This window comes from Homo sapiens, chromosome 11 (genome assembly GCF_000001405.40).
Source record: "Homo sapiens chromosome 11, GRCh38.p14 Primary Assembly".
Classification (NCBI taxonomy): Eukaryota; Metazoa; Chordata; class Mammalia; order Primates; family Hominidae; genus Homo; species Homo sapiens.
Genome location: NC_000011.10, coordinates 16,022,651 through 16,041,975, shown reverse-complemented (window position 1 = coordinate 16,041,975; position 19,325 = coordinate 16,022,651). Strand labels below are relative to the sequence as shown.

At 36.6% G+C, this 19,325-nt stretch overlaps 1 protein-coding gene and 1 long non-coding RNA gene across 7 annotated transcripts in view; one reads left to right on the top strand and one right to left on the bottom strand.

Annotated features, from left to right (window-relative positions):
* Nucleotides 1-19,325, top strand: part of SOX6 (SRY-box transcription factor 6) — a 772,029-nt gene that overhangs the window by 696,502 nt on the left and 56,202 nt on the right. The window lies entirely within an intron of this gene.
* Nucleotides 6-18,748, bottom strand: LOC105376572 (uncharacterized). Its single transcript, XR_007062607.1, has 3 exons — nucleotides 18,683-18,748; nucleotides 2,893-2,980; nucleotides 6-90 (listed from the first exon to the last, which is right to left on the bottom strand). It is a non-coding gene; the product is annotated as an uncharacterized LOC105376572 (long non-coding RNA).

The following is a 19,325-nucleotide window of genomic DNA, read 5'->3' as shown; positions in this document are numbered from 1 at the left end:
CAAATCTGTTGTTTAGTTTTTAAATTTTTCTTTCTTTGATACTCTCCACTAGTGAATGAGTCAACCTATTGGTCCTTGGATCCAAAATGTCTTAAAAGAGAAAAAAAGGCTAGTTAGATTCTAACAGGCAGCTTCTTACAAAGTCAGGATATGCATATTTCTTTTTCATTTTTGGAGTAACTTGTATAAACTAGCTACCTGCTAGGATCTGGCTAAAGCCAACTTGATAATAATACTCAAATTTGATTATGTTAGTGTGCTAGGGAGCTTTTGTTCCTACTTATTTAATATATTCTTTAATATGTTTCCACAAAAGCAGAATTTTAATCTATAATTTTTTTAGAAAAGCTTGACCTGATTCTTGATAGCTATTTACATTTCTTATACCCAAATGATATTTTTCAGTGAATTAAATAGGAAAACAATATCTAATCATTGGGGCACATTGTAAACTTGTTCCCATTTATTTAAGAAGCCATTGTTCATTTTTTGAAAGTGTAGATTCTTGCATTTCACCCATATGTTTCAAAAATATCAGAATAGTACATCAGTATTACACTGATGTAATACTGCCCCCTTTTATTGGAAAAGAAAAACATACTGGACATCTTCTGCTTCGCATTGTCAATTACCATAGCTCCTTGTTATTCATACAATTGATTCAGGTATTCATTATTGCATGACAGGATAAATTTAGACAGAGGATCAATATAGCTGTACAGCAGTAAGTGAAAGGGGCTTGTGAGAAAATTATTTAGCAAAGTGTGTTGGGAATGAATGAGCTCCTTCTATAGCTCACAGACTAGTGAGGTTTGGTTGTTTTCAAAGGCATATATAGTCCTAATTAATCAGGATTGTCATTTTTGTGAGCAGTTGACTAACATGTTTGTGTTGCTTTTCTATGTCAACCTATTCTCAAGACAACAACTTGTACTATGAAGAATGCAGGGCACATTAGAGATTTTTGCAGTAAGGGAAGAAATTCTAATTGTAATTCTCATTTGCAAAGCAGAGCAGTAGTCACTGTTTAAAAAACATTTGTGTACTACTCTTTCTTTATGTCACGACAATGAATATTTTTATACTGCTTTCTATGCTCCAAATATATTATTACATATATATTCGCTCTTAAACCTTTCCAAATTCAGGGATGTCGGTATTACTGTCCTTGTTTCACAGATGAAGAAACTAAGACCAGCTCGGGATCACTTTACTCCAGCATTTCCTTTCCATCATCTCATTTGTTCCCTACATCTCTGTGAGATTGATAGCGCAATTTTACTTAAAATCTAAAACAAGACACACATCTGAGTTTCAAACATCAATTTAATGAAGTGAATGCTAAAATTATGAGCTAAAGAAGTCTATCTAGATATATGTGCTTCATACATATTTCTTTGAAATGAATAGCTATATTTATACTTGCGATAGTGTTTTTTTAAAAGAACATACACAGATCAAAAGTGCTATAAAATTAGAGAAAAGCAAGGTAAGTTTTATTAATGTTGGATTTTACATTTGAACTAATAACATTGGGCAACTGTGAAGTTCTGTATGTAGGCTCCTGGCTGAATGTAATCATTAAGTTCTTTTTCTTTCTGTTGTCAGGACTACTTGATTGGTTGCCTAGCTACTAGCTTAAAAGGCCAAACTCATAAAAAACAACAACAAACTTGTTTGGCTCTTTTCTTCTCTGTACTTTAAACAGGAAAAAAATGGTGAGAATTTATATATAAGTGTACAAGTTCAAGATCCTTCCTAGGGATAGGTGTAGGTGTAGGAATAAATATAAAGCCTTGAGTTTTATTTATACATGTTTTAGTCAAAAGGCCACATCTAGTTAATGTATCTCTCAATGAAATGGCTAAAATTCGATATATTCAGTTAATAATGTTGCATACATTCTGTGAAAGAGTTGTTGGTTTTGTTATGTATGGAGCAAACTTACTAATTATGAGGATTTTATAGACCTAACCTCCCATTATGGCAGGTAGTTTCTAATCCTTAATCCTTCTAGATCTAATCTCTTCTAGATGTAATCTCTTAATCCTTCCAGACCAGCTGTTCTCAACTTTTTTGGTCTCAGGGGCCTTTTACACTCTTAAAAATTATCAAAGACCCTGAAGAGTTTTGATTTATGTGGGACTTATCAACCAATATTTGTCTTATTAAATATTAAAACTAAAACATCAAAAAATATTTAAGATAACAATAACAAATCAATTAGGTAGTAATATAAATACCATTTTTTAGTATTAACTATATTTTCAAAGTAAAAAAATAGAAGAATGTTTTTGCTTTACATTTTCATGAATCTCTTTAATGTCTGATTTATTAGAATACTGCTTGATTCTGGTATCTGCTTTTGCATCCAAATTGTATCATTGTCATGTAGTTTCTGGAAATCTCCATCGTACATTCAAGAGAGAATAAGAATGAATAAGTCAAACAATGTCTTAGAGTTATTATGGAAATAGTTTTGATCTAGTGGACCCTCTAAAAGGGTCTTTGAGATTACCAAGGTGATACTTTGAATATATGCTATTCTAGATCATGTAATACATACACCTGCATTATGTGTTTTAATTGTATTCACCTTAACCTTAATAACAGTTTTCACTGATCAAACACAGTAAAAGTTTAGAATTGACCAATGGCTTTGTTCTGTTTGAATTAAGGAGCAAAACAGTACAGTTGTACTATTTGTGTTTATACGTTGCCTTGATGTAAAAAGAATTTTGGGTGGTTTGCAGTGATACGTGCAGTAAAACAACATAAAAACTAAATAGAGAGGAGATTGTGGGAAATAAAAATTAAGGATAGGAAAATAAGGTAAGTAGGGTAAAGCTGAGATAAGTGAAGTGCACAAAAATTCTTGTCATACATATTTACCTAATTGCTAAAGGATGGCCACAGACTCGATTGTGAGCTTCCTGGTAACCAGGCAAAAAGGAAATGTGTTACAACAGCCACAGTATTTCTACAACATAAACAAAACAGCTTCTCAGAAGAGACATAGGTCTTCTCTGGGCACTCACAAAAGCTTCAGACATACCTAAGAATGTACCTATAACATTCCTATTCAGTTTGAGAACTCAGTAATTTTTCAGGGCTATTTCTTAACAGATCTTTCATTTATCTTTTAGATGCATTTTTACCTACAGTTATTTGCCTTAGTTTAGGTAATGTGACTGACATTGAATACTTGTTTGCAGCACTTTATTCCACAGACACACTTTTTTTCAATTTCATTCCATTTGTATTAAGTACTTACTATATACAAAGCATAGTATTAGACATGTGAAGTGGAAAGATAACCAGGGCTCAATACTGGCTTTATCACTGTTATGCTAATATCTCAGAGCTTAAGTTTCCCAATCTATAAAAATATCAGGATTTGAGAATTAAATGATTTAATATTCAACCTCCTAATAAAATATCTTCTGTACAAATTGGGCATTTAATAAATTCTTACTCCCTTCCTCCCTCTTTCCCAGTCTTCTTTTCCTCTCTCTCCCACCTTTCCACCTTCCCTTCTTTTTTTCTTTCCTTCCTACTTTTCCATCCATTTAATTAAGTTTGTTGATAAGAGCAAAGGCTTTGGAGTTAGATGGCCCTAACATCTCCATCTGAGAAATGCTATTAATTTGCATAGTTTCTATGCACAAGGGTTTGTTATGATGATTCAGTAAAGTACAATCATCCGTCAATACTCTTGGAGAATTGGTCCAGGACCCCACCTCCCTACCCTGCAGATCCCAAAATTCCTGGATGCTCAAGACTCTTATATAAAATGGCATAGTATTTGCATATAACCTAGGCACATCCTCCCATATTCCTTAAATCATCTCTAGATTACTTATAATACCTAACACAACATAAATGCTATGTCAATAGTTGTTGCATTCTTTTTATTTCTATTATTTGTATTGTTATTTTTAATTTAAAAAAAATTTTAATATTTTCCTTCCAAAATTGGTTGACCTCTCAGATATGGAACTCATGGATATGAAAGGCCTGCTATAATCAACATAAGTGGCCTCATTCAGAACCTGACACATAATTGGTAGAAGAGCAGGCTGAAAGAGATGGTTGTCATGGCTAGCTTAAGTTTTATCCTTGTAGATAATTGCCAGCCATTGTAGGTGTTTGTGGATGGGGCACATTTAATCTAAACTACATTTTAAGAAGAATATGATGGTGGCAGTTTAAATAAAGAATGGGCGAGACCTTTAGAGAGATGTGCAAGAGTGAAGAGAGCATGTGTTTTGGAGTCAGAGTGACCGGGGCTTCAGATTCTGCTTCCACAACTCACAGGTCTGTGACTTCCTTGAGCCTTGGTGTCCTTATCTGTGATTAATAACACTTAGTTCCCTGTGTTATTACAGGTTATATCAAAAAGCTATGAAACTATAAGCCAGGTACTCAGGATTATGCATTTAAAATCCATTTTCTTCTCTTGCAGCATTCCCAAGACCAGTTCTGTAGGTGGAACTCCATTTGAAATTTCTTTAAATTGGCCTTGGGCTCTTTTGCACTCCTGCCCTTCCTTAGCTTAGAAGCTGCCCTGTTGTTGTAGAAACAGGGCTTTTCCAGTGGAAAGACAAACAGTATGCAGAGGAAGGACATATCACAAGTTTAGTGTCAGGTGACTTAATGCTATGTCACCCCACATAAACAAATTAATTTCTGAAGAATTCCCAACCTCCAAATTAAATCAGACCCATCTAGGTGGCCTTTAGAATCCACTTGTTGTACTAAACATTTTTTAAATATCTGAGTTGCAGAAAGAAATCAAAGCACATGTTGTCAGGAATTTTTTAGTTATTTTTAAAAGAGCACATTAAAGAAAATATATATAGTTATGATTATCATCAAAACAAATATTAAGTTTGAAGTCATTTGATTGTAGGACAAATTTTAAATACAAAATTGAGACCATTTAAGTGACAAATTATATTTTTAAAAGTCTGCTAAAACTTGAACATTTAAAGTTGGGTTCAGTTTAAAATGCAACTTTAGAAAGGCTGAGTAGATTCTAAACTGTTTTCCTAAGTTTTCACAAAACTTCTCAAGACAATGCAAGCTGCCTCCTAAGTCTAACAAAGAATCTGTCTAAGTTCTTATTTTTAGATTCCTCAGAGAAGCATACGCGATCACTTGAAAACACACTGTGTTGTTTTACTGTGTGCCTGCCTTTAGGAAACTGGGTCCATCTGGATTTTTCTGAGCTAAGAGGAGGGTGCTCTGCTTAAAAGCTATCTGAACTTTCTGCAGACTTTGACATCCCATTTCATGGATGTTGGCTTTGGTATATCCTGAAGATTTTCCTCAGAGATCTTTGCCCTTGGGAATTCGGGATCTAATGTGTGCTCTGTCTAAAAATCTCTTAACCAATTTCTATTCTTACAGAATCATAACTCGTCCACATTATCTCTAGTCCAGTGATGATGATAGATCTTTTCCCTTTAGAGATATGAAATATGAACTTCTTTGTTTTTGTAGTAGTATAGTAAAAATTCATATATTCAACACTCTCTCAACAGAAAGACCATTAGTCAGCACTTCTTCATCACACTATAAGAAGAGTTGAATCAGGCCGGGTGCAGTGGCTCACACCTGTAATTCCAGCTCTTTTGGAGGCCAAGGCGGGTGGATCACCTGAGGTCGGGAGTTCGAGACCAGCCTGACTAACATGGAGAAACCCTGCCTCTACTAAAAATACAAAATGAGCTGGGCCTAGTGGCGCATGCCTGTAATCCCAGCTACTCGGGAGGCTGAGGCAGGAAAATTGCTTGAACCTAGGAGGCAGAGGTTGCGGTGAGCAGAGGTCATGCCATTGCACTCTAGCCTGGGCAACAAGAGCGAAACTCCATCTCAAAAAAAAAAAAAAAAAAGAGTTGAATCAGAGCTAAAAGAGCCCTTAGAGATCATTTAGTACAGCCGCTCATTTTATAGATGAAGAAACAGAAGTGAAGTGATTGCCCAAATCCAGCCACAGGGTGTTACTGAGACTGGGACCAGTCCTCTGTCTCTCTGGCACTCAGTCCTGTGTGCTTTCCAGATTCTGCTCTAATGTTCACGGTCCTAAGATGCTTATGGTGGTGACCCTAAGGCATCATATGGTCTCAAAGTGCTAAATTCAGTCTTAGTGCTGCTTATGTTGTTCTATACTATCATCCTTGCTAATAGAGATAAGTATGGAATATATTGTATCTGATAGCTTCACTAATCAGAGTGTAGGTTAAATAGAACATTACATTTCCTAGACATGCCTGGCACATAGTAGGCACTAAATATAATATTAATTGATTTAAGTTGATGCCAGTAACACAATTTTCTGTAACTACATTTTGTATAAATATTTAGTTCCCTAAAGATCAATTTTTAAAAATAGATTTCATTAAGTGTTCTTAGTAATAGGTGAGGTGGATAATACTTTAACTTTTTCTTTTCCTAAGAGGCTTTCTTTGCTCGTGGCAGTTTTAAGAACATAATAATAACAATCACTAAAATGTCAGTGTTTTAAATTGTTTGCAAAGCATTTCACACATTTATTAATTAAAGTTAATTCTAGCAAACATCCTAAGAAGTGGAATTTTTATTATTTCTCTTCTACAGATGAGTATGAGGTTCAAAGAGCTCAAATCATTTTCCTACATTCACACAGTTAATATTGAACTTGAGAGACTTCAAAGTTTTTTGTTTTGAATCCCATATTCTGTCTGCAATAACAGACGGACTTCACCTTCTTCCCCCAAACCTATCCCTGCCCATGTGTCCTGATGCGCCTTGAAAAGAAGGTCACACATTATATATGGCTGTACATGAGTTTGTGTGTGCATGTGACTGCACAATGCGTGTAACTCTGTGAGTGTTCATGTGAGCAAACTTTGTGAATGTTCATGTCTTTCTCATTGTGGGTATAAATCTATATGTGAGTCTGTCTCTGTGAGTCTGTTCCTTGTGTGTGTATGTGCATTTATTTTGCCTGTTTTTCCATAGGTCTGTTTGTATCTATAGAAGTGGGTACCTGCTCCTGCTGTGCGTCTGTCTATCCGACTATGCATCTGTAGTGTGTCTGTGTATTTGTCAGTATCTCTTTGTGTCTGTGTGTCTATCTCAGTGTGCACCTCTCTGCATTTGTATGTCTGTAGGTATGTCTGGGTCCATGTCTATGTCTGTCTCTGAATCTGTATGTCTGTCTGTGTCAGTTGACCTGGGTGTATATGTGAGACGGTCTGTATGACAGTGTATGTGTGTTGTCTGTATAAGTCTTCGTGTATGTGTTCTACTCCCTTCCCTTTGTGGTGTTGGGTATTACTATACTTGATTATTTTCATTTTCAGCTGGTTGGCCTAGGGCTGTGAATAGAGAGTATATGTGAAAACTTTGCACATGGATGTACTTTATATATTCTTTACATCACTGATTCCCTCTCAGCATTGTCTTAAATCTGGTTGTCAAAAATGTGCCATTGAGAGCAGTCTGGCAGAAGTTTACTTTTAGCTAAGATCCAGTTTGCAATCTTTGACATTTGCAACTAAGATTAGAATTTCCCAAAGTGCTGTCTTCCCACTATGGATGGAAATGCTTGATTTTATTTTTAGTGCAACCCTGATTTGCCCTTTATATCTTTTTATAAATAATGTCAACAGCATTGGTTCTGAAATAACACAAAGGGTGTCTTGTAAAATGCATTGCGCAATGGCCTTAGTTCTCATATCTTCTAGGTTGCAGTAGTCCCCTGTAGTTCTCAACAAAGGAGATCATTTGAATTGTTATCTTCCCATATTGAGAGTCAACATAATTTTTTAAGAAAAGAAACCATATATTTGGGGTTCTCTTGCCTATGTTGAGATTAAAATATCAACAATTAAATTAGTATCCATTTTCTTATCTGTAAAATGGGGGCAAGAAGACAAACCTCATCTCTAGTTCAAAGAAACATTTTAGTGAGCTCTTACATTTACAAAATCACATTGGTTTCTCAAGTCCTTTCTGTTCTTCTAAGAACATGAGTTCTCTGCTTCTTTTTCTTTTCTTTTCCTTTCTTTTCTTTTTCTTTCTTTCTATTTATTTATTTTTTGTTTGTTTGTTTTGGAGACAGAGTTTCGTTCTTGTTGCCCAGGCTGGAGTGCAATGGCACGATCTCGGCTCACCACAACCTCCACCTCCTAGGTTCAAGCAATTCTCCTGTCTCAGCCGCCCCAGTAGCTGGAATTACAAGCACCTGCCACCATGCCCGGCTAATTTTTTGTATCTTTAGTAGAGATGGGGTTTCACCGTGTTGGCCAGGCTCATCTCGAACTCCTGACCTCAGGTGATGCACCTGCCTCAGCCTCCTAAATTGCTGGGATTACAGGTGTGAGCCACTGCGCCTGGCCGAGTTCTCTGATCTTAATAATACTCCTTCAAGGGAGGTTGGTAGCAAGTTTAGCCTTTCTTATTCCAGACCACCAATTTGATTGCCATGAAATGATTTCTCCAGGTCTAGGCAAACATCAGGAATGAAATAAAGAACAGGAGCCTTTGAAATCGGTCATGTCTAAATCCAAATCTCAGCTTCTCAGCCTAATTAATGATCAACAACATGTGTATTACTAGGTATGCCACCTGGGGCCTGTTACTTACTTTTCTGAGACTATGTTTACTCACTTGGGAGGTGGAAATGATGAACATACTGTATAAGGTTGTGGAAAATATTAAATAAGATAATATATGTGAAGTAAGGTAGATGCAAATAAATATTCTTCTGGTTCCCTTATTGTTGTTTGCAACCACATGACGTCACAGAGCGTTAGGTAGGAAGTGCTCACCATTTGATGTATGGGTTAGGTGTTAGGTGCTAGGGATTCAGGTAAATATTGACTGGTCTCTTTCTGACCTACAGGAGAGTGTAGTCTGGTAGTCTGATTTGGGAGGTAAGACAGATCCATGAAAAGGAACCAGACAATAGAGGGTCTGTGTGCCAAATGAGTGAATGAAAAGTGTCGTAAGGCTAATTAAGCTAATGAAGATAAAAGGAGGCCGTCCTGATCAATCCCTTGGTGGAAAAAAAGTTCTGTAGAAGAGGAGAGACTTGAAATGCCCTCAAAGGAAGGACAGGCAGGCTGGAGTAGGTAGGCAGGAGTGTCTAGGCAGGGTCCTGGCATGAGTATGGTTGGGGCATGTGTCTGCATATGGGGAATAATGGCTGGAGGACAGCTCAATCAAGAGAGAAGTGTACTCTGAGTTAGAGAGGGGCAGGATTCAGATGATGGAAGCCTTGAATGCCTGGCTAAGAAAGTTAACCCAGAGGCTGTATGTATGGTTGTATGTATGATTGTGTATGTGTGAGAAAGAGAGAGAGAGAGAATAAAGGATAATGATGGTAGTGGTGGCTGAGGTAAATGGAGTGTATTTCTCCACATAGATAAACTTGGAGACAGTCAATCTGTTACACAATTATAGAAGCAACTAATAAGTTGCTCCCACTCTTCTCTCTGGGAGAAACCTCAGGGTGATATAGGATTGTAAATCTACATGAAAATTTGAAATAATTAACATAATTTATAGGCATTTGTGACTGATGAATTTTTAATACAAAAATCACATTTGATGTTCACAGAAATCCTGTGAGGTAAAGATTATTGATATCTTTTATTAGCCCCCATTATAGACTAACAAATCGAACAAAACCCTGAAAATTCATGCAGGTAACTCTAGGTTCAAATACCAGCTCTGCTCTATATAAATTCTATACTTTTTACTGCACCACACTGTTACCATTATTGGTAACTTGAAGGAAGAGCCCATGTCTTACTCTTTGCTCTTCCCCTAACACTGAGCCTAAAATGCTCATTGATTGTGTGCTTGTGACTAGAGCCCAGACTTTGGAAGAAGTAGTTACTCTTACGGAGATGAAAATTTATTTTCATCTCTCTGCCCTTTTGAATGTGTCTGGCATTCCTCAGATAGAGTAAATTCATATTATAGGAGGGTTGCCTCTTACAAGGCCCTAGAATACTGAAGTCTGTTTCACTGTCTCAATTTGCTTGTCTCACTGCCACTTCCTCATCTGTCTTCTATTCTGGAGGTTGTGGATGCATCGCCCTCGGTCCACACTTCTTTGTCTCTGCCTCCTGGTATGTGTGAGAATAGATTTCTCTCCTTTCCTTTCTCCCTCCCTAACCTCCTTCCTACCCTCTCTTTCCATTTCTGCTCCCCCATTGCCCTTTCCTGTTCCCCTTGTTCCTCTTATTTTTCCACCCTCCCTCTCTCCTTCCTTCACTTCTCACTGCAATCTTACAGCCTACTGCAGTTAGGGTGCAGTCTCTGATCATTGATGATTTTTCTGCAAGTTCTTATAGTTACAGGAGGCAGCTGCTGCCTCTGCATTCTTCTATGGCAGGGCTCTAGTGTGTAATACCTGCATACCTACCTACCCTACTCCTGTGTCCTTGATAGCAGCACAGTTAACAGGAGCTCTTGGGTGTGCATCTCCAATGATAAGTCCTCTAAAGCCGCATAAGAATTAACCATATATGAAACAGTTGCACAGCCTAGGGGGGCTGAGAGACAACCAGTACACATTTATTCAGAATCAAATGCTGATGTCATTTATTTAAATGGCTGTGCAATGAAGTACTGGATTTGAATAGCTTCAGAAAGTTAAATTTATAAAATAAATACCAACTTGCAAAGCTTTGGAAGTGAACATGGATGCTGAGCTTCCTGATTTCATGTACCTAAAACTGAGTAAAGTTTGACAAATGAAGCTATGTGAATCGTAGAAGGAATTTAGTCTTGATGTTAAAGCTGGAGATCTGTCTTCTAGGCCTACATCTGAGTATCTGTGTCATCTTGGGGAAGTCTCTAAATCTTACTGAGTCTCAGTATGTTCTGTAAAATTAGGATGATTGTGCCTTACGAATTAGATAATATGTGGGAAAAGACTTTACAATTTATAAGATGCTAATGGCCACAAAGTCTGACCATTTACCATATTTATTGTGTGAGGAGGAAGGGAAATGAGTCTGATTTCTGCCCAGAAGGGAAGCTTTATGCTGTGTGCCTCCTGCCTCCTGTTTCATTGGAATGAGGTAGACTCAAAGCTGCCTTAGGCTGATAGCATAAATAAGTAGCATGTCATCACTTTTTTTTCCATAAATAAAACACTTTTTGTTTATCATCTTTGTGGGTGGTGGTGAGAAGGAGAGGGTGTAGAAAGGAAGTGAAGTCTATTTCAAGCAAATCAGGTCGGTTGTACCAAATATCTCTGGCTCAAAGAATTAGCTGAGGACTGAGGATTAGCTAAATGTAGATGGATTTACAGATCAGCATAATACAATGAGATCAAAACACTATGAGTTAGTGAATTTCATATGGTTTTGTACAAACTGGTTTTCCAGAATCATTTCCTCAAGTTTATATAATTTTAAAAGGTAATTTAATGAGCTAGAAATTTTCTATAGTTGATATTTGAGGCAGTATTAAATATTGCTTTACCTTCAAGTAGAAACCATACTAAAGAGAAGTAAAGTTTGCAGTCAAATCAGCTTACACAGAAGGCAAACTATGTAACTGTTTAGAACAATAGACAATGAATTTTTAGAATTTTGTATTATTTTTAGTTGAGAAACTATAATTGTCAATGAATTTTAAAATAATTGAAAGTACAAGTGTGAGTGCTTCAAACATATTAATCTTCAAGGGAAGACTAATATTTCAAACCTAAGCATTTCTAAATAGATCATATTTATTCAAACCTAAGAGTTTCTAAATAGATCATATTTACACTAAGACTTTATTTGGTTTAAGCAATCTAATAATCCACCCCTTCATGTCACATTGCCAATTAGAGAACACAATGTACAACCTGAAGCCTTATATAAGTGACATTTTAATATTCAGATCCCGAAGCAGTCGAGAAGTTTGGCTCTCTAGAAGCAATTTTTCTTCTACTCCTTTGGTCATCACCTCAGTTATGCAAAATTAAAATTTTGATCATAACGCAAATTCAAATATGAGTTTTATTTAATCAGGGTGAAAAGCAGATTTACTCCTTTCCTAGGTTATACACTTCTTTGTGTCAAATATATGCAGTAGAGTTAAATAAGAGGTATATTATAAAAACTTTTGTAGCTTGTATAATTATTATATTCATGATCTTCTCTTAAGTCATTAATTGGTCTGAAAATGCCATTAAAAATTTTACAGAGATTTAAAAACGGCTAATTATAACATTCACTTGGGAAGTTATTTGTTCTATGAACAACTGCCTTTTTCCCTGAGACTGTTCAAATCCATTTTAGTTAATTCTCGTTAGACAATCGGTTTTTTTTTTGTTTTTTTTTTTGAGACGGAGTCTTGCTCTGTAGCCCAGGCTAGAGTTCAGTGGTTCGATCTCTGCTCATTGCAACCTCCGCCTTCCAGGTTCAGGTGATTCTCCTGCCTCAGCCTCCCGAGTGCCTCGGATTACAGGAGCCCGCTACCACGCCCGGCTAATTTTTGTATTTGTAGTAGAGATGGGGTTTCACCATCTTGGCCAGGCTGGTCTTGAACTCCTGACCTTGTGATTCACCCGCCTCGGCCTCCCAAAGTGCTGGAATTACAGGCATGAGCCACCACGCCCGGCCCTCATTAGACAATCTTTAGGACTGAAGGAACTGTCTCTCGGTCTCACATCCTGCTTAGGCTAATTTTCCAAGTTTCTCCTTATCTGGGCAGAAGTGCTGTTATTCAAGCTGTAGGAATAAACATGTGCTTGTTTATTGAGCCCATGTCCTAGAGCCCTTGGAGATGTTTTTATTTCACTTAGAGATTTTAACCTGTGATCTAAGCATCATTTCTAATTCAGCGGGAAGGATTGTTTATGTTGAAGCACTTGCTTTTAGACCAGGAATTCAGAGTCCACATTTTAAAATATCTTACATTTTATTTTTTGAGAAATAAAGTTGGTGCAGTCGCTACCCTTGCTGGTATGACCTACAATGTGCTGCATTTCAGTTTCTAATTTCTGAATGTGAAGATGACGAGCCTTGTTTTTTCCTAATATAATGACAACAAACACAAAGCTCTACCCAAAATATACATTACATTGTAAATATTTCAAGTTTGTGCCAGTTAAGGACAGTTGTGAAGGACAGGTGATTTTTATTCTATTTACTTATTTATTTTCACCATTGTGGAAACAGTGGAAGGGAATAAAAGCACTCGCACCCATCCGCTCTGTTTGCTGGCTCTCTGATGACAAACGGCCGATATGTGGAGAGCACATACCTCATTTACATCAGATGCATAATGTACTCTATCTGGGATATTAGCTTCTCGGTCTTGCAGTGTTGCCTAACACACACAGTGATCAGCACATTTTTTGAGACTGCAATAATCAGAGGAATGTAACAGTGATGTGGGAACAAGAGGAAATAACATGGAATAATAATGTACCCATCATTGTTCTGTTGTCATCCCTCCTAGCCAGTTTGGTTTCCCTTAGAGCCTAACAAAAGCTTCACGAATTCAATGGAATAAAACATGGAACTGGGTGCAAAATTAATACATCTATTCCCAAGCTCCATATTCATAGAAAAAAGGAAAATATTGACTACATAGGGAACAGACTTTCCCTGAAAGCTTTGTGGATCTATGCATATGCTTATGTAATCTTCAAACAAGTTGTGCAGCCTTTTACAAATGTGTCTAGCCTCATTTAATCTCAAGTAAGCCTGTGGATACCACAAAGGAAAAAAAATGAAAAAAAGTCAGATGTAGGAAATAAACTAAATCTTCAAAAATATGCAAAATATAAGTTCCCAATAAAATATTATCTGCTACATTAATTAGCAGGCTGTGTACAAAATTTATTCTTAGCATGCTAACCTCTTCACGGTTTGCACACATTGACTCAAATAATGTCAGAGCAGTTTTCACTCATATTGTCCAAGATTTTATCAAGAGTTCAGTCCTGCAAGTATTTTACAAAGTAGTTGCATGTTCCTGTTCTATAACTGCTTGCAGTATTCCCAAATAAGTCTTACACATGAGTTCAATAAATAATTGGAAGCCCAGATGTTTGAAACGGATATAGCAGATACACTGTAGCTGTATTTAAAATACAGCTCCTTTCCCTTTGTCCTCCCATCAACTTCACAGCATTGCACTCTGCCATTTTCAGTTCTCTTCTAATTAAATCTAGATGCGCGGTGAGCATGTACGTGTTCCCACACGTGCCCCTCTCTCATATGCAGCACGTGGAGGCATCCTGTATTATTGTTGCTGACTTGAGACATTCCAGCAAGGAATTCTGCTTCTTCAAATTGAACTGTAGCATTCTTTGTCCCTTAAGCTCACCTCCTGATAAGGAAATTACTTATATTGAGACATGACTTACTGCTTCACATAGCAAAGAACTAAAAATTGGGTTTAAATTCCTGTCTTGAACTGAGCCTGACTCATTTCTGTGTCTCTCTATAGTACGACTAAAGCAGGCTCTTGTCCCGTGTTTGATAAATAAAGTAAAAAATATTAGGTATCAGTAAAAACTAAGAACATTCTTGAATTTGGTTTTAAAATATAGCTGCCTGATTTTCAGGACTTGAAAGAAATGTGTAGGAAATTTCATTTTATTTACTATACCTTTAGTTTATTAAATTTAACATTTTTGTTAATATATACTTCTCCATCCCTATGCAGTTTTTTACCTTATAACTAAAAATGATGATTTCTAACTTATATATCTTAGTTTTTCCCTCTTTGAATAATTATACTAATTCCTGCAAATGCTGTGACATTATCAGAGAAAAGTTGTTTTATTTTTATTGTATTTTTTAAGAGATAGAAGAGTATTATCGTTACATTTGGGAATTCTTAATTTGTATCTTATTTAGTCTGGTGTGCAATGTGACACCAGTTAATTCTATGTTATTTTATGGTAACTACATGTTAACTCTGTTGGAAGTAATGGTAATTATACTGTAATTGATATCAGTTCTCCCACATCTTTGGAAAACCATACAATTAACACATATCCCCACAGTTGGACACTATCTTTTGTCTTTTGTAATGGTGCCATATTGGAGTACTGTTTTGAAAAGCGTTTCTAAATATTTTCTTCTTCTTTTAAACTCATTTTAAAAATTTCAATTTCAGAATTTTTTTTTAGTTTGTATGAAATGAAAACAGTTTCTAAATTTTAATTTTACTTCATCTTAAGAAAAGCTTCTTCCACAATCAGACATAGTCCTGGGTTATTTTTGTTTTTTATTTGAATACTCATTTGTGACATCATTTGACCTTATTTAGTGCTTCTTTTTTCCTAGAAGGAGGATAACAGTAGAATATACAAAATCTTGACATTAAGGAGTTAATCAGCTTTTTTCTGAAGAAAGGCCCTCTTCTTAGCAGCAGTCTTTGCATTTATGTTACTTTACTTGCAGACAAAAAGAGATGTATTCTGGGCTAGTGCCACCATAATGAGTCTCAAACTAGGGACACAGAGGAATCTTTAAGCCACATTCAGATGAAAATGTGTTCCCTCTGATTTTCCCTGCATCCTTTCCCTGCCTTCCCTTGCCTTTGTGTCCCTTCCCTTCTATTGCTTTTGACTATGGTGGCCACGGAACTTCAGAAGTAGCCAACAGATGCTTTTTGGCTAAGGGTGACCATGCTTTGGTAGGCTTGTTTGAAAAAAATGCATTGTTTTTTAGTGCTTTTCTTGAGATGAATAATTCCTCAGAATTTTTTTAGGCGTGATTTTATCAATGTGTGCTGCAGTATAGATCTTAGAGAGAAAGAAAGTCAAATATCATAGAATCATAAGATTTCAGAGCTGGAAGAAACCATGGAGATAAGTTAACTTAACTCCCTCATTTTGCAGATGAATTATACAGGGACTAGCATAGTTGGTAGAGTAAGAGTAGCTCAGTGGAAGGAGCAGGAGACTGAGAGTCTGGAGCTGAGAGGCATGTTCTGGATCTGTCACCAGCCGGCTTCAGGACTGTGGTAAGTGTCCACACCTCCTTGGTCACATTGCTGTTTGAATGAAGAGGCCTTACATTTCCTTCTGGCACTAAAGCTTTCTCATGCTCCCTATTTTTCTTTTTAAGATATATGTTATTTGTGCAGCATACATATTTTTTTAAATTATAGGAAAAGCTCTTAGGAGATACAATATGCTTATATATATCATAAATTAAAACAAATACATGGTAGCAGTACCTTACATTTTCCCACTTTTTGTGTTTATGTTTCTGAGGGAAAAAAATCTTCAAATTTATCAGTTTTCCAGCTAAAACTGAAATGGAAGCTATATTTCTAAAGAAAATATTTATTCTTGGTTCGTATAGCTTTGATGTTTTCAACTTGAATAAACTGCACTTGTGTTTCCACAAATAATACTAAAAAGTACACATTATAAATTAAACAGGTACCTCAGATGAGGCACTTAGATTTTGAACTAATAGAATTCCCAAGATACCTTTTTGGACAAAGACATTTGCTTAGCTGGTCATTAATTTTATTGTGACACTCTTTGTTCATATGGTACATGTTAGAATAACAGTATCTTATTGGTGGTTTAGGTGGAGATAGAATTCTCCACTTTTTAAACCATGTGTTCAGTTTTAATAGGAGTTTGTGTAATTTTACAGTGGGACTTTTTGTGAACTTTTTACTGAAACAAATGGTTAATCAGAGAATATTCAGGAACAAATCTGCATCATGCCTCTGTACACGAATAAAAAGTTGAAACCACATATAAGTAGGAGTTAGGCTGCCACACAACTGGATTTGCTTAAATCTGAACACTTTATAACTCTACTTGGGAGTTGCAAACTTATAAATAACCTTGCAATTGGTTAAAACCATATTAAAACCATATGAATGAGACAGAAAGCATTTGGTTAAAGGGGTTCAGTAAGCACTATAATCCTGATGAAACTAATTTAATTCAGTGGCTTCCAAGCCTAAAAGGGTCTCATATCTTCAGAGTTAATGCTACTGTATCATTTATCATCTGATGGTCAGTGACAAGAGTCTAAATGTGTGTTACAGGAGATGTCTAGGATGCTGTCCTTGCCGGGGGTGTGGAGACAGAACTCGCTTATTTTGGAGTACTCTTCAAATCCTGAGGGAAACTTGTCATACATCATTGGAGAATGTTTTTGAAAGGTCCATAAAACATCTCCACAAGAAGCTCTGCAGACATTAGTTCATTTCAGCAGGCATGTGCTGCATGCTTCTCTGCTTGCAGCGCACAGTTCTCTCTGGGCATAGAGCAGGTCGTGAGATACTTTCCCTCCCTCGAAATGCTTATGGTCCAGTGGCATATATCAGCATTCCTAGAGTTTATCTCAACAGCTTATAGCATTGAGATTCTGTTTCTTGCCTCAAGTATAAATCTTCCTGTTTTTGAAAACCTTTGTTAAGTGCTTCCTTCCCTTTAAAGGACAACTTTTGAAGAATCATAGATAAATATATAGATGGATGGACAAGGCTGTCAACAGATAGAACTGCTACTAGATCCTAAAGAAAAAAGTTTCTAGATAATTGTTTGTGAGGCTAATAGGACCTTATCTCTAAAATATGCTGCTTTATTATTTGATAATTTTGGAAAGCAACTAGCACCTTTCATGGCATAAGAGGTAGAAGCTGCCATTGTATTAGTTGGCCAGGGTTGCCGTAATAAACTACCAGAGACAGCGGACTTAAACAACAGAAATTCATTTTCTCACAGTACTGCCTGGAAGTCCAAGATCAAGGTGTTAGCAGGTTCATTTCTTCTGAAGCCTCTCTCTTTGGCTTGTAGATAGAGGCTGTCTTGATGTGTCCTCACATGCTCTTTCCTCCATGTGCACACATCCCTGGTGTCCTTTTTTGTGTCCAGATGTACCCTTCGTATAAGTACACCAGTCAGATTGGATTAGGACCCACCCTAAGAGCCTCATTTTAACCTAACCACTGCTTTAAAGGCCCCGTCTCCAAATACAGTCACATTCTGAGGTACTAGGGGTACCTATGAATTATGGGGAAACACAATTCAGCCCATAACAACCATATTTACTCAGCTTGGATATTTCCAAATCTCGTGAAGTTATTTCACTGGGATTACAGTGCCTAAGGATCTCCCTTGACCAATGTCTTTGTTTGCATGGCTTTACCAGGATTATCTTCCCTAGGAATGTTCTTGTTTCTCAGGAGGAATTAAATTGAAATTAATATAATTCTGTTGTAACAGTTTATTCTATTACCCTTTCATAAGAGATTGGCCTTTTTAATTAATTCAAAGAATGAATTGCTAATGGTGAATTGCTAAGCAATGTAAGAGATGTGTAAGGATATTTTTTGTGGAGATGGTTCAGATTTTAGGGAAAATTCTTCTTGGAGAGCCCTTTCTAGTGATAATAATAAGGCAGATTTTCTGTATCACAGCTCTGGGCCAACCCTGACCAGGAGATCACTCTACTGTTTAATTGACTTACACACCTTCCTTTGTATTTATCTGTCTTTTAATTATTTATATTTCACTGCTTTAAATAGGATCTGAAAATAATTGCATTTTATTTAAAAGTAAAATTAAAATGGAAGAAGAAAGAGAAGCAATTTTACCAAGATTACCAAGATTAACAACCAGAGAGCCTAGTATGTGCAACATCATGAGAGGCACTTATGTTATAGAGATAATAAGACATGGATACTGTACCTTGAGGAGCAAGTTGAGGAGAACTGGAAACAGACATAGAAACCAATAATTGTAATATATATTTTTCTATAAATGTGGTGATGGAACACCACATTTGGTGTTAGAGGAAAGGGGTTAGGGGTGTTAGAGGAAAGGGGATGATAGATTCTTCCCAGGGCTGGTGGAAGGAAGTCAACAAAGGATTTTGTCCAGAGCAGATGTTTTAATTAGGCTTAGAAAGGACTAATTATGATGTCATCTGGAAGGGAAGACATCATAATTAGAAAGAAAAAGTGGCATTCGGAAATACATAGGATTTTGGAATATCATAGCTAGTTCAGGGAGCTACAAGAAATTCCATTTTATTGTAACAGGGAGTATAAACTAGAGTGAATAGGATATGAAGCTGATGAGGGAGCAGGAGCCAGATCATAAAAAGACATGCATAATTTACAGAGAAGTTTGGTTCTTATCATACAGGTGAAGGAAGACTTGAGTGCTTAAAAGTAGTGAATAATTATCCAGCTCCTACATGGTTACTAAGGTTGAGATTTAAAGTTACTTCTGAGTTACTTAGCAGCCAAGATAAAATGGAAAGCATTGATTGGGCGCAGTGGCTCATGCCTGTAATCCCAGCACTTTGGGAGGCTGAAGCAGGCAGATC